Source organism: Homo sapiens, chromosome 12 (assembly GCF_000001405.40).
Source record: "Homo sapiens chromosome 12, GRCh38.p14 Primary Assembly".
Lineage (NCBI taxonomy): Eukaryota > Metazoa > Chordata > Mammalia > Primates > Hominidae > Homo > Homo sapiens.
In genome coordinates this window covers 58,565,559-58,580,607 of record NC_000012.12, presented here as the reverse complement: position 1 = coordinate 58,580,607, position 15,049 = coordinate 58,565,559, and the positions used below count along the sequence as shown (strand labels likewise).

The following is a 15,049-nucleotide window of genomic DNA, read 5'->3' as shown; positions in this document are numbered from 1 at the left end:
TCTCTGATGAGAATGTTAAAAACTTCCTGCTAACTTAAGACAGAAAATGAAAGAGCCAGGTGTGATGGCACTGGGAGGCAGTAAAGAGTATCCAAGTGATTAGTAACTTGAAGAATCAAATATCATATTCTTCTAAAAATGCCAAATTATATTAATCTGAAATATGAAAATAGTGCTCGCAGTAAAGCCTTGGGTTTACATTGTATATTCGAGTGAGACATTTCCAAACCAAAGTCATCCACCTTGGCTGTGGATACTGCTGGTGATCATATTGCCCTACTTCAAATTATGAGTTGATCTCCATGAGTCATCTGTCCTGAAATTTTAGACAGACCCTGTGCCTTCTCTTGTTAAAAGCCTCTGTACTGTGGAGTTACGGGATAAATGCAGCAAGCATCATCTATTATTGTGGGTTAAATGGTTTCAAAGTTGTAAACCAGTTGCCTTTCTTATTGTGACACTAGTTTATTTAAAATATGTTCAACAACCAATTCCCTCCTTTAAGCCCTATTAGAAACACAGATACTTTACCAGGCTGTAATACTACATCTTTAAAAACTTTAGAAAAGTAAATCATTTTCTCTAGATTTACATAGTCAGATTTTCTCAGAATGGTAAATACAATGTTACTGTCTGTATTACTTTGAACGCAGATTACCTATAGCAATTTAGTTCAATCCAATTTTGTGTCCAGAAGAACTTAACTTGGGCTGGACAAAATTTTATTGGCTAATTCCAAAGAAATGATTAACTTTTCCATTCTTTTATATGAGCCTTATTTTTCAATCAGCATTTACAGGCAGTTATCAGATGATAGGTACTGGGAATATGAAGGTGAAGAGTAAAAACAAAACAATTTTCCATCAAGCACATTGTCTTTGGGTCTTAGAACAGGGCCTGGCACATAGCAGATGCTCAATAAATACTGAAGAAATAAAAGAAGCTGGAACCACTGGCTAGCCATATGCCGAAAACTGAAACTGGACCCCTTCATTACACCTTATACAAAAATTAACTCAAGATGGATTAAAGACTTAAATGTAAAATGCAAAACTATAAAAACCGTAGGAGAAAATCTAGGCAATATCATTCAGGACATAGGCATGGGCAAAGATTTCATGACAAAAATGTCAAAAGCAATTGCAATAAGAGCAAAAATTTACAAACAGGAACTAATTAAACTAAAGAGTTTCTGCACAGCAAAAGAAACTATTATCAGAGAGAATGAACCATCTCCACAATGGGAGAAAATTTTTGTGATCTATCCATCTGACAAAAGGTCTAATATCCAGAATCTACAAGAAACTTAAACATATTCAGAAGAAAAAAAAACCCCTATAAAAAATTGGGCAAAGGACACAAACACACACTTCTCAAAAGAAGACATTTACTGCCTGTAATCCCAGCACTTTGGGAGGCCGAGGCAGGTTGATCACAAGGTCAAGAGATCGAGATCATCCTAGCCAACATAGTGAAACCCTGTCTCTACTAAAAGTACAAAAATTAGCTGGGCATGGTGGAACACATCTGTGGTCCCAGCTACTTGGGAGGCTGAGGCAGGAGAATCGCTTGAACCTGGGAGGTGGAGGTTGCAGTGAGCCGAGATTGCACCACTGCACTCCAGCCCAGGTGACAGAGCGAGACTCTATCTCAAAAAAAAAAAAAAAAAAAAGAAGAAGAAGACATTTACACAGCCAACAAACATATGAAAAAAAAGCTCAACATCACTAATAATTAGAGAAATGCAAATCAAAATCACAATGAGATACCATCTCATATTAGTCAGAAGGGCAATTATTTAAAAATCAAGAAACAACAGATGCTGGTAAGGCTGCAGAGGAATAGGAATGGTTTTACACTGTTGGTGGGAATGTAAATTAGTTCAACCATTGTGGAAGAGAGTGTGGTGATTCCTCAAAGACCTAAAACTAGAAACACCATTTGACCCAGCAAGCCCACTACTGGGTATATACCCAAAGGAATATAAATCATTCTATTATAAAGATACATGCACACCTATGTTCTGAGCACTATTCACAATAGCAAAGACATGGAATCAACCCAAATGCCCACCAAGTATAGACTGGATAAAGAAAATATGGTACATATATAACATATATGTATGGAATACCATACAGCCTTTAAAAAGAATGAGATCATGTCCTTTGCAGGTGCATAGATGGAGCTGGAAGCCATTATTCTCAGCAAACTAATGCAGGAACAGAAAACCAAACACTGCATGTTATCACTTATAAGAGGGAGCTGAACAATGTGAACACATAGACACAGGGAGGAGAACAACACACACTGGGGCCTGTTGGGGGGTGAGGGTAGGGAGAGCGTCAGGATAAACAGCTAATGCATACTGGGCTTAATAACTCAGTAACGGATTGATGGGTGCAGCAAATCACCATGGCACATGTTTACCTATGTAGCAAACCCATATATCCTGCCCATGTATCCCAGAACTTAAAAAAATATATAAATAAATAAGACGGAGAAAAGAGGGAAGGGAGGCAGAAGAGATTAAATGAAGATAAAAATTTCTTCCCTTAATAACTCACATTTCTTTGTATGGAGTTGTATAAAAGCCCTGGGCGGGGAGGCAAGACATCTGGGCTCCCATGGTATGCCCCTAACCACCCAGAATCTGGATAAGTTCTCTTCCCCGAACCTTGATTTCCTCCCCCATGAAATACAGGATTTGTGTTCCATTTCAGTCTAAAGTTCTAGGATGTTATAAATAACACTTTCCCAATGAAAGCAGTCATTTATTTTCCCTAGCTGCCTTTTGCACACACATAGTCATCCTTGTGTCAGGAGCTCAGCTCACCTTCTCCTCCACACACGCCCTTCCCTAAACAATGTCCTACCCAAGAGCAAGCTTCTTCTCCTTGTTGCCCTCATCCTGTGTCCTAATGATAAATATTGCCCTCTCCTTTTGGCCATGTCCTAGCCTTTCTCTTTCCTCTTGAAGGGAAGGGAAAGTGGCCTCTTGAATTTTGCCCAGATAAATAGAACCATGAGTGTAACTCTAAGTTAAAAAGACCAACTGGAAAGTCAGGATCTTCTCAGAAGGGTGAGTTTTCTGAAGCGGCTCAGCTATGTTATGTTGGACACACAGTAACCTCTTACGTGGGCCACACCTAAAATCTGAAGTGAGTCTAAGGAAGTGAGCTTGGATCTGAGGACACAGCAGAAGGAAATAAAATGTCCTGGTCTATCTTGCTTAGTAACAAGTGTTGAGCTTACTAATGTTGCTTTTCTCTCTGGGTTTGCCTGCTGCCTTCTGGGCTCCCATTAAAAACGTCTTGTATGACAATTACTATTTTTTGCTTTTTCAAAATGTCACAGAAACTATTTAGCCAATAGATCACCTCATGCAAGGCTACAACTTCTCTTTTAAATATCGCATTAATCGTTTATATGTTGGATGATGTGAGTTATTAGCTTGGCAACAAAATGGGTTTTCCTCTTGGCTCTTTTTATTTCTTCTCTCATTATTACAGGAAAGCCAAACCAATACTTCATGGTGGACACTTATGTCATGCCTCTGGGGTCTAAATAATGGTCCCTTTTTTCTACCTGTCATTCAGTGTGTGAAGCATGCTGCAGAGGTATCAACTCACCCCTCCCCTGTCATGCCATCAAGGACATGGCCGCCACATTGTGCACCTCGGTTGACATTCTAAGGATGGTTCACAGCTGCGAAGAGGGAGTAAAAGGAGTTCAGATGATGTGTCCAAAACTTAGATCTGGCCTCTCTCTGACACAGACCAGCTGTGCAGCCTGGGGAAAGTTACTTAACCCCTCTGAATTTTTCTCTAATATAAGGGAGTTATAAAGATCGCCTCTAAGCTTTGATGTTTTGTAATTATCAGACTGTACTGTCCAAAGTATTTCAGAGAGTAGAGTACCTATGGCAAAAGCTTACATTGAAACTGCTGGTCAACAAAAAGCATGGGTACGTAATGCAAGAGAACAGTGGTGGGTATTGGGATTTGTGATGTGTCCCTTTTCTGAAACCGGGCTGGTGATGCGATAAATGCTCAGTTCTTTGGAGTAGAAGCCCTTATCTCGTATCCTGGATCTTACACTTATGATGGCCTTAGGTGAACCATTTGAATTATCTAACTCTTAATTCCCTCACTTGTAAAACAAGTACATGTGTGCAGATGTGCATCTTATCTGTGACACTGTGAATGGAGTGCTGTGTCAATTTCGAGAAACGGTTGCCCATGTCACTGTTACCGGCCATGTCATGGTACTATAATCATATGAGTCTGTGCTACCACGACTGAGAGTTTCTGTATCATGTGAGTGCCTCTGGCACTCTTTATATCCTTATTTCCCTGAGTATGTGAATGGATTTGTTACAGCTGTGTGGCTGAGTACTGCTAGGCTGGAAATCCTAACTGACTTACAGAGTTGCCGTGAGGATAAAACAAAATGATAATCATGAACAATTTGGCACATTTTATAACTTAGGAAAGGTTTGCCCACATGATGTCTGTTTTTGGCATCCTAACAGCTGAATGAAATATTGTATTAATATTGTATGAGTATTATTTTATAGATAAGGAAATCTATAACTTAACTCATTAACCTGAAATAACTCAGCAAATCAAGGAAGAGCTATATTTGGAACCTAGATCTGTGTCAGTCCCAATACTTTATTTATGGTTTTTCTCATTATATATCCACCTTCTCATGAAAAAGTTACAAGGTCTATTGTAAAACATTATACAAATGTAAGGTGGTGGTGGTGATATTATGGAAAACTCTGGAGGGAAGGCTATAGAGTTATAATTTCCTATGTAATTTATTAGTTAGATTTTCCTAAGTAATTGCATTATTTCCTGCTTCTTTACCATTTAAGGTATAGCTGAAGTTAATGGCAAAGTTAGAGAAAAGTCACAGTTTTGAATGCCAACTAGTAGAGGAATTTGACTGAAATATCTGCACACATGTTCTGTGCTTAAAATTGTTACAACGTCTTCTTAATGCTTTCAGTGTATGAACTGAGTTTGCACATGATCTGTTCTGCGATCCGTACTTTTTCGGGCAGATGCTACAATAGCCTCATGTTTTCTGTGCTGAGACACCACAGCTGCAGAGTCATCAGCAGAACAGAGCATGACACATGAACTACTTGTACAGGATCAGGGGTGAATTCTCACCGAGCCAATTTCCTCTTTCTGTTACCCTGGTGATCACTTGGTCAGAGCAGAAGTTGTTCCTGTCATCATGCTCTCTAAGTTTCCTTATCTATCAAAAGAGTATATCAACAGCTGCCTTATGGAATTAGTATAACTGTTTATAAAATAGCATATGCAGAGTGGTTTACACAATAAATGACAGTTGCTTATAAGAGGCATTACTACAGAAAAAAATCACATCCAGAATCTTTGTCATTTAACACAGAACTCCCATCAGCTGAGCCAAGTCAGCTATAGTCAGTTCCATTCTACATTCTAACAATCATTTCTGAAACACATAAGAGGGTTATTAAATTAATGAAATAAACACTTTTCATTAATGACCTTAAAGAAAACTACCTTTAACATTTTTTATCCCAGTTTTGTGCATTTGTTTGCTACTCTCTTTTAGAATAATGAATAAATTCATGTCTCTTACTACTCAGCAAAGGATGTCTTTTATTTATTTAATTATTTTTTGTAAGAAACAGGGTCTTGCTCTGTCACCCAGGCTACTGGAGTGCAGCGGTGTGATCATGGCTCACTGCAACCTACAACTCCTGGGGCTCAAGGGATCCTCCTGCCTCAGTCTCCAGAGTAGCTAAGGCCATTATTTTTAATAAAGATGGGGTCTTGCTATGTTGCCCAGGCTGATCTCAAACTCCTGGCCTCAAGTGATTCTCCCTTCTCGGCCTCCAAAAGCACTGGGATTACAGACATGAGCCATTGGCCCAGGCCAGGATGTCTTTGTATTACCATTTCTGTATCAGAGGCTAACTTTAGGTATATACCAAAGAAAATCTGAATTCACAGGATTCTATAGGTGCTAAGGCAAGAAGCTAACATGTTGTTATTATTGTTATTAGCTTCCATTTATTTAACAAAATGTATGCAAAGTTCTGAACAAATGTTTTACATGCACCATTTACTCATTTATGTATTGAACATCTACCATGTGCTAGGGGCAGTAGTGAAACACATCGTGGAGAGGACAGGGTTCTGGTCTCCTCCAGGATAAAAAAAAATTATAAAACATTATTTTCCTGACCTCATATTCCTCATCTGTATACTAAAGATAATAAAATCTATTTTTCTTCCCAGGACTATTACAAAAATCAAAAGAGATAATAGACATGAAACCTTGTGAATGAATAATCAAAAGGGATTCAAAAATTTAAATGTTAAGAATACCACTGAAAGGTTTGGTTTAGATTGTTGTTTTGTTCCTTTGTCTGTTTTACTAGATTCTGAAGCACCTTTTATATCAGCTAAAATTTTATTAGACTGTATGCCACAGAAAACCCAAACCAAAGTGTCTTAACTGGGAAATTCTTGTTTTTGCAAAATAACAAAAAAATATGATGGTAGGAAGTCCTAGGCTCAACAGTATAATTAAAGATTCAAGTTCATTCAATCTTCTGCCACAGCAACCTCAGAATTTGCTCTTTTCCCTCATGATCATACTATTAGTTGCTTCATCTCTAGGATTGCATCCACTTTCCAGGCAGACCTCCTCATGAGATCTTATCAGATAATTCAGGAAAATAAGCATTTTTTAGCTAATTTTTGCATTCATTTTATTTGCCAGAATTTTGTCCCATTGCTGTCCTCAGACAAAAGGGAATTTTTAAAAGTGAGTTTTAGATTTTTAACCTTTAGGAGAACAAAACAAGAGAAAGCGGGAACAGGGTTGTAAATGATGCAGTGAAGGCTCTTCATGATATAGATTAAGGTTCAGTGACATTTTTTGTTGGTTTACTATATTTCTCAGCTGTGACTTCAAACTGCAAAGACACTCAAGAGTCACATATGCCAAAAAGCTTTAGTGAATTTCTACCCTAAAATTGCTGGTGCCACATCTGGATAGGTGGATTAAAATTGATTCGTTGTTCACATTACCCCTGCCTGGTCTCAGAGTGGCTCTGGATTTGATAATTACACAATCTCTGATGATATATTTCTAATTCAAGATTCAAACTGTGGCTTCCCCCACATAAAATGGTCAATTTATTAATAAACAAATAAAAAGAATGAGATCTCTTATTATAAAAAGAATAGGCTGTCTTTTGTGGTTGCTATAAAGAAAGAAAAAACCTCATATAATTATTATAGGCCCAAAGGCTAAAAAGGAAATTAAATGGGCATGTGCCTAGAAACTGTAAAAATCAAATTTGCTCAGAGACACAAGAGGGAATTGGAAGTGTTGGAAAACGTGCATTACTCATACTATCAGAACAGGAACAAGGAAGGAATGAAAACAGAATAAAGAAAACAAGTAGATTAAACTAGAGGAAGAAAGTAGTTTCTCTAAGGGGAATGTATTAGCCAGGGTTCTTCAGAGAAACAGAACCAATAGGAATAGGGTGTATGTCTGTGTGTGTGTGTGTGTGTGTGTGTGTGTGTGTGTGTATGCACAGAGAGAGAGAGAGAGAGAAGAAATTGGCACAATTGATTATGGAAGCTACCAAGTCTAAAATCTGCAGGGTACACCCGTAATCTGAAGACCCAGGGAAGCATTAAGCTGTGGTTTGAGTTCAAAGATAGTTTTCTGGAAGAATTATGTCTTTTGGTGAGGTGAGGTTTTTTGTTTTTTTTTTTCTTAAGGCCTTAACTGATTGAATGAGGCTTACCCACATTATAGAAAGTAATCTGCTTTACGCATAGTCTACTAATATAAATGTTAATCTCATTTTATATCTCCACAGCAACATTCAGAAGTGTTTGACCAAATATCTGAGTACCATAGCCAAGTCAAACTGACACATAAAATTAACCACCACAGAGAATATTGAGATCTTAGAAAACAAGTCAGGCAGATACAAAGTACAGATTATACTAATTTTCTCAGAGCACCAGGATCTAGGAAATTATTGGAAAGCACCCTCCTAAAACTCAGATAGAGATTTCATATTAAAAATCCCTCAAATTTTGGGACAGCTATATCTGGTGATTAACAAAAATATGAACAGAGATGAGAGTAAGATCAGTATGATTATAGAGTACTCAGATTATTATAATGCATTGTTAAAATGATGGCCCCCAATGAATCATGGCTCCTTTGGGCCATTCCGATTTGCTATGTCAGGTTGTTATTGCCTCCCATCCAAAGATGAAGCCCCTTTCCCCATCCCCTGAAGCTGGGGTGGTCTCATGACTTGTTTGGCTAATAGAATGCAGCAGAAGTGACATGGTACAACTTTCAGGGCTTGTATTTTATGCTTTCATCCTCTTAACATCACCCTAAGGCCACTATGCTGTGAAGAAACCTAAGCATGTGGGAAGAGAGGTCCAGCCATACCAGCTATGGCAGCTGAATTCAGTCCCCACTGACCTGACAGCCACATGTAGCCTCATGAGTGAGCCCAGACATAATAGCAGATGAACAGCCCAGCCCACCCAAAGAATACTAGAAAAATAACGGGTTGCTTTAAGTCACTAAGTTTTGGTGTAGTTTGTTGCACAACTACATAGCTAAGACATAGTTGCAATTCATTTATTTTCACTGCTGTCTAGTACTCCGTTGAATAATGTCATTCTCTTTTAAAGTCCATTCTTTTCCTGATAGACATTTGGATCATTCCTATTTTGTTGCTGTTTAAAAAAATGCTGCTTTTGAACATTAACATGCATACCTCCAGTTACACACTCTGAGGTATACACCTCAGAGTAGAATTGCTCTTGAAGGTATGTGCATTTTCAACCTAACTTTTAAAGCAGTTATCAATCTGCTTTCCAAAACACAAACCAGGCAGAATTATGAATCAATTGGAAAAATACCATTATAACAAGTCATTAGGAAAAAGATATGAACAAATATATCACAGAAGAAAAAAAATAAAATGGTCCATCAACATATAAATGAGTCTCTGTTTCACTAGTAGAGAGGGAAATGCATTCCTTAGTGAACCCAAAAAAGTTTATTTTCCTTTCTTTTTTTTTTTTTTTTTTTTGAGTCAGACTCTCACTCTATTACCCAGGCTGGAGTGCGGTGGCATGATCTCGGCTCACTGCAAACTCTGCCTCCCCAGTTCAAATGATTCTTCTGCCTTCTGCCTCAGCCTCCCAAATAGCTGGAACTACAGGTGAGTACCATCCCGCCCAGCTAATTTTTTTTTTTTTTGTATTTTTAGTAGAGACGGGGTTTCACCATATTGGCCAGGCTGGTCTTGAACTCCTGACCTCCTGATCTGCCGGCCTCGGCCTCCCAAAGTGCTGGGATTACAGGCGTGAGCCACTGCTCCCAGCCTCTTTTCCATTTTAAAGGGAGTGTCCTACACTAGTAAAATAAAATTTAGGCTGTGCCTTGTAACTATCTACCTATAAATTTATCTCTTGATTGATCAAAAAGAACAATTGTGGGATAGAAATGGTGACAGTAAAATATGCAGTGTTGATGCAGGAGCAGGGAAAGGTGACGCTGATTCTGCTGGTAAGGATGTAAAGTAATACCACATTGCTAGAGATGAACTTTGCAATATACATCAAAACTTTTCAAATGTGTATACTTTTTGAATCAGAAATTTTATTTCTGGGAATTTATCAGACAACTTCAAAGATATTTGTACAAGTGTTGATTATTGCATGCCTTGACCATGCTCCCTTCTGTCTACCTATAATCCTTCCTGAAAGCAAGGCCAACTTTTCTACCAGATAACCCTGACCTCATCCTGTCAGAATTGAATGGACCAAGAATTGAGCTACCCTAAAAGTGAGTAATCCATAGAGTCTAGAAAGAGGGCTGACTGGTCAGATGTAGAATAATGAGCAGGAACAACAGGATTGCTTTATTGGGAATGAGGGATTGAGAAACCAAGAGATGAGAGCTGTTGGTTACAGAGACAGGAGCCAAAAGGATATATTAAGGATTACCATAATGTATTAATAGAGACAGGGAAAGCCATCACATACCATATGCGAGAATCAGGAATTATGAAGAACAAGAGGAAGACTCTTAGTAGAAACAAGGGAATGAGACAGATGTGCAAAGAGAAGCAGCTCTCCTCACCTAGGGCTGCCTCAGACTCCAGTAGCTTTCTAGTTCCAGTTCCAGCCCCATATGTTATTACAACACAACACCTTTTCACTGAGAAACCTCAAATGTGTCTGTTTCTTCTCTTTTTTTTTTTTTTCTTTTCTTTTCATTTTTTTGAGACAGAGTCTCACTCTTATAGCCCAGGCTGGAGTGCAACAGCATGATCTTAGCTCACTGCAACCTCTGCCTTCTGGGTTCAAACAATTCTTCTGCCTCAGCCTCCTGAGTAGCCGGGATTACAGGTGCCTGCCACCAGGCCCAGCTAATTTTTGAATTTTTAGTAGAGATGGGGGTTTCACCATGTTAGCCAGGCTGGTCTCGAACTCCTGACCTCACGTGATCCGCCTGCCTTGGCATCCCAAAGTGCTGGGATTACAGGTGCCTGGCCAAGTCTGTTTCTTGATATCAAAAGGTTTTCGCTAAAATAATCCTAAAATGATATCATTATAAGCATGTAAAATCGTGATGCTGAGACATGTTGATTAAATAACAAGCTCATGATAAGCTTTTTTTCTTCTTTATGTGAGATGTGGTCTAAACCCTTGGGACAATTTACTTCTGGGAAAAAAAAATTAGCAGGAAGACTTTTTGACTATAGGATCAAGGTATGTTTTTCAATCCAACTCCACCAGTAATAATACAGCATTTTCAGTCCCCTCAAAATAAGTTAATAATATTTTGCCACCTGGAAAAAAGACACATTACAGGACAGTATGTCTAAATATCCACATTCTTTTCTTGTCATTTACATATATAGTATGTCATAAACACAGAGATTATAAATAGGTTAGAAAGGCTGCATACCAAAATATTGACTGTGGCCATCTCTGAATGGTGACATAATTGATTTGGAGTGTTTTTGTTTTTGTTTTTGTTTTGTTTTGTTTTTGCTTCTCTGGGTTCTTGCTCTTTCTACAATAAAATCAATAATTTTACAAATAAATATTTAAATGTGTAATTGTGAATATTGGTGTCATTGGAATATCACTCCCTATATGTTGCTTCTAAGGGCCAGTTTTCTGGAAATAGTTTGAAGATACCGACTCATGGTTAAATGTTTCACATTTACCCTCAGAAATGAGTGCTACTGTTCAGAAACGGAGGTAAGGGTCTTCCCTGCCATTGGACATTGGGAAGATGTTGATGATTTTAACTGACACCCTGGCTAAACCATTTCAGGACAACCATGGTTAGGTCTCTTTGTTGCTCTTTTCACAGGTGCCCACTTTGCTTGTGGGATTTAGGAGGAAATGCCACACACTGTCATAGAAAAAGTGAGTTATTTGATGTATTATTTAACATTGAAAAGTTGTTTTAATGAGAAAAAATTGGTAGCTGTGTCTGTTTATTTTTGTGATAATGCTTTGAATTAAAATTCTCTAATACGCTTATCATCAAGATTTTATAAGATGGTTGTTCAATGTTAGTTTATTATTACAGGATATTTATTTAGTAATGACTTTAAAATAGATTTTATTTGTAATCTGCCACAAATAGAATTTTAATAATCAAGAAATTGTTACTTTTATGCCATGTTAGTCATTAAATTGAGCCGGGAAATAACAGAGTTGATGCAGATGAAAATATTAAATCTGCAGCAGAAGACTGGATAAAACTATTTGATCATTTCTGGTTTACCTCTGAGTTAACTCACTGTGAAAAGATTATGAATGATTTCATTGTTCTCCATCTGTTAGAAATTCAATTAAATGCTGTTTAGTTTATGTAACCACAAACCTCCTGCTACCACTTCATTCTCAGTATTAACTCTACTGTGTGTTGACACCACTGAAGGGTAAATTACAACTATCTAGAAGGGAAATAGCATGATTCTTACTATAAATGCCATGACTTATCTACGTTCTAAATTTTATCCACTATATTTCATTCATTCAAAATTGATTCAGTGGTAGAAAGCAACAGATCCCCTGAATCCCTGGGCACACTTTGCCCTCTACCTTCAGGGTTCCTCTGACTATTGGGAACTCCCTCCCTCTCTGCACTTACCCTGCAGTGTTGCCATGACGTATTTACATGGTGACTTCTTCTCAAATGATAAGGAGTTCTTTCAGGTCAGGGACAGTATCTAACTCATTATGAAGTAATAGGACAAAAAATATTATTTAAGGACAAAGCTGATTGTACCATCTTCTTACCCATTAGGAAAAATGCCATTATTCTATTAGGCAAAAATGACATTTGATGTGCTCTTTTACCCTCCCAGAGACTTTAATAAGAGAGAGATAAAAAAAGACTGAAATTGCAAGACCTCTTCCAATTCTTTTGTTCTGCAACATGGTGGGAACTAGAGTTCCCACACGCCATTGTTTAGCAGAATGCCTTAAGTGTGTATTTCCACATATTGAGAGGTGTACTCAGAGAAGAGGAGTAGAAAATCTTAGTTGCTTTGCATAGTACAGTGAAGAAGATTGCATTTCATTGGGGTGCTAAAGGATGGGGTTCACACCAAATTGAAAACCTGAGAGTTTGGTGAATGGCTCTTAAATTATCTGTGGTGAAGAACCAGGTTTTTGTTGTTTGTTTGGGGGGAAGTTGTTGTTTAATTTCCAATCATCACTGATCAAATGCTTGTAAATGCTTATTCTCAATTTCTGTACTAACTTTGTGATATACTGATAATGCCACACTCTGAGTAATACCGGTCTAGAGAGTGGGGAGGTTGAAGGACTCACAAGAACAAGGATATCTAATATTCAAATGTAAGTTGTTATTGCTAATCTATATGAATCCTTATGTTACTAAATTTTTAAAGTTTGTTTGACATGCAAATGCTTTGTGAGACTGGACTTTGTTGTGGTTGTTGCTGGGGATTAGGGAGTTTAAAAAACAAGAAAGGGAGTTAGTTTTATGTCTTGGTCAACACAGAACAGAGACAAGAGAAGGGAGTAGATGACAATACACAAAAACTCAGTAAGATCAAGGGACTGAAGCCAGAGCGACTTTGAGAATGTAATCTCTGTAGATTGCTGACTCCCCAAAAATTCCACCAAAAGACACAGATTAAGCAAATCAAGTGTATTACCTTTGTAATAAGGGAGATAACTAACTTGACAGAACCATAGTAGCAACTTGAATGATAGAGTACAAAAGAAAAATACTTATAAGAGTATGGTTTAAGGTGGGTCTTTCAATGTAGGGGCCTGATTAGAATTGGGCAGAGTTTGTTACATAAGAGTTTAGAATTAGCAAACACAGTGAAAAAAAAAGGGGGGGGGATTTGAAGGAAGCCTTGAAAAACAGTCCCTTGAGAAACCCAGTTGAATAATTTATTGTTCTGAGAAGGAAGATATGTGCCTTGATGTAGGCTACTTGGCTAGTCTACGGTTGGAATAAATAGACTTCAGAAAGTTCATGAGACAAACATCCTCCTGAGAAAGAATTCCCTGGAAAAATGAAGTCAGGTTAATGCAGAGTTTTGAGTATAACAGTAAATCCATGCAATTAAAGACAGTTAAGGTACAGGTTTCAGTTCTGAGTCAGCAGCTGTAAACCCCAGAGAAGACATTAGTTTTTCAGAGGTTGCGCGATAGGAAATCTGATCTTATGTGACATCTGGGTTATATTTGTTATCCCTAGCATACAGCAGTGTTATTCACATAGCAGTGACTCCACGAATACTTGCAAAAAAGGAATGAATGAGTAAATAAATGAGTAAGTGAAAGAGAATACCACTCTAATACTGTCTAACCCAATGCCTAAAAACTCCAGTTTTTAGTGTCCACTATCATAATGACTTCTTCTTCTTTTCTTTTCTTTTTTTCTTTTTAGATGGCGTCTCACTCTATTGCCCAGGCTAGAGTACAATAGTGCAATCTTGGCTCACTGCAACCTCCCCCTCCCAGGTTCAAGCCATTCTCCTGCCTCAGCCTCCCGAGTAGCTAGAACTACAAGCACGTGCACTGTACCCAGCTAATTTTTTGTATTTTTAGCAGAGACGGGGTTTCTCCATGTTGGCCAGGCTGGTCTCGAACTCCTGACCTCAGGTAATCCACCGCCTCATCCTCCCAAAATGCATTATCTCTTCCCAAAATGCATTATCTATTTCATTAAGAAAAAGGAGAAAGCAACCATGCTAAGCTTCAAATAAAAGCATGTGAGCACACCTGATGACGCTAGACCCACTGGAATCTCGCATAACTCATCCTGAACGTGTTGGGAATCAAGTCTCTCAGGATTAGCCCTGGTAATCTGAAAGTCACCAGTCATCAAGAAGTGGCATCTCTACCATGTGGTGCAATCATAGCCCTGAACTCAAATTTCTGTCTGATATATTTGATGTGATCCCTCCTTTTATACCCTTTTAACTTCTGCTTGGAGAGACCCACTGACCTTGTAGCTGACTGTCAGAACTTTTCCTTGCCAGGCCAGCAATAAATTTGGCATTGTTTTGGACATTGATTTGGTGGTCTTTGTTTCTTAGTGCTCAACAATTTTAATAGAGTCAGAATCCAGAGATATAATGGATAAGCAGACTATTAATAAAGCACTATTCACAATTGCAAAGACTTGAAACCAACCCAAATGCCCAACAATGATAGACTGGATAAAGAAAATGTGGCACATATACACCATGGAATACTATACAGCCATAAAAAGGATGAGTTCATGTTTTTTGCAGGGACATGGATGAAGCTGGAAACCATCATCCTCAGCAAACTAACACAGGAACAGAAAACCAAACACCACATGTTCTCACTCAAAAGTGGGAGGGGAACAATGAGAATACATGGACACAGGGAGGGGTACATCACACACCAGGGCCTGTTGAGTAGTGGGGGCTAGGGAAGAGATAGCATTA

The 15,049-nt window shown here is 38.2% G+C and overlaps 1 long non-coding RNA gene across 1 annotated transcript in view; it reads left to right on the top strand.

Moving 5' to 3' along the window:
• Window positions 1–14,649, top strand: part of LINC02388 (long intergenic non-protein coding RNA 2388) — a 215,758-nt gene extending 201,109 nt beyond the window's left edge. Inside the window, exons 4-8 of the long non-coding RNA NR_120452.1 lie at window positions 9,176–9,280; window positions 9,828–9,906; window positions 11,240–11,333; window positions 11,449–11,504; window positions 14,020–14,649. This is a non-coding gene — a long non-coding RNA (long intergenic non-protein coding RNA 2388). The remainder of the gene's footprint in view (window positions 1–9,175; window positions 9,281–9,827; window positions 9,907–11,239; window positions 11,334–11,448; window positions 11,505–14,019) is intronic.
• Window positions 14,650–15,049: the final 400 nt, after the last annotated feature.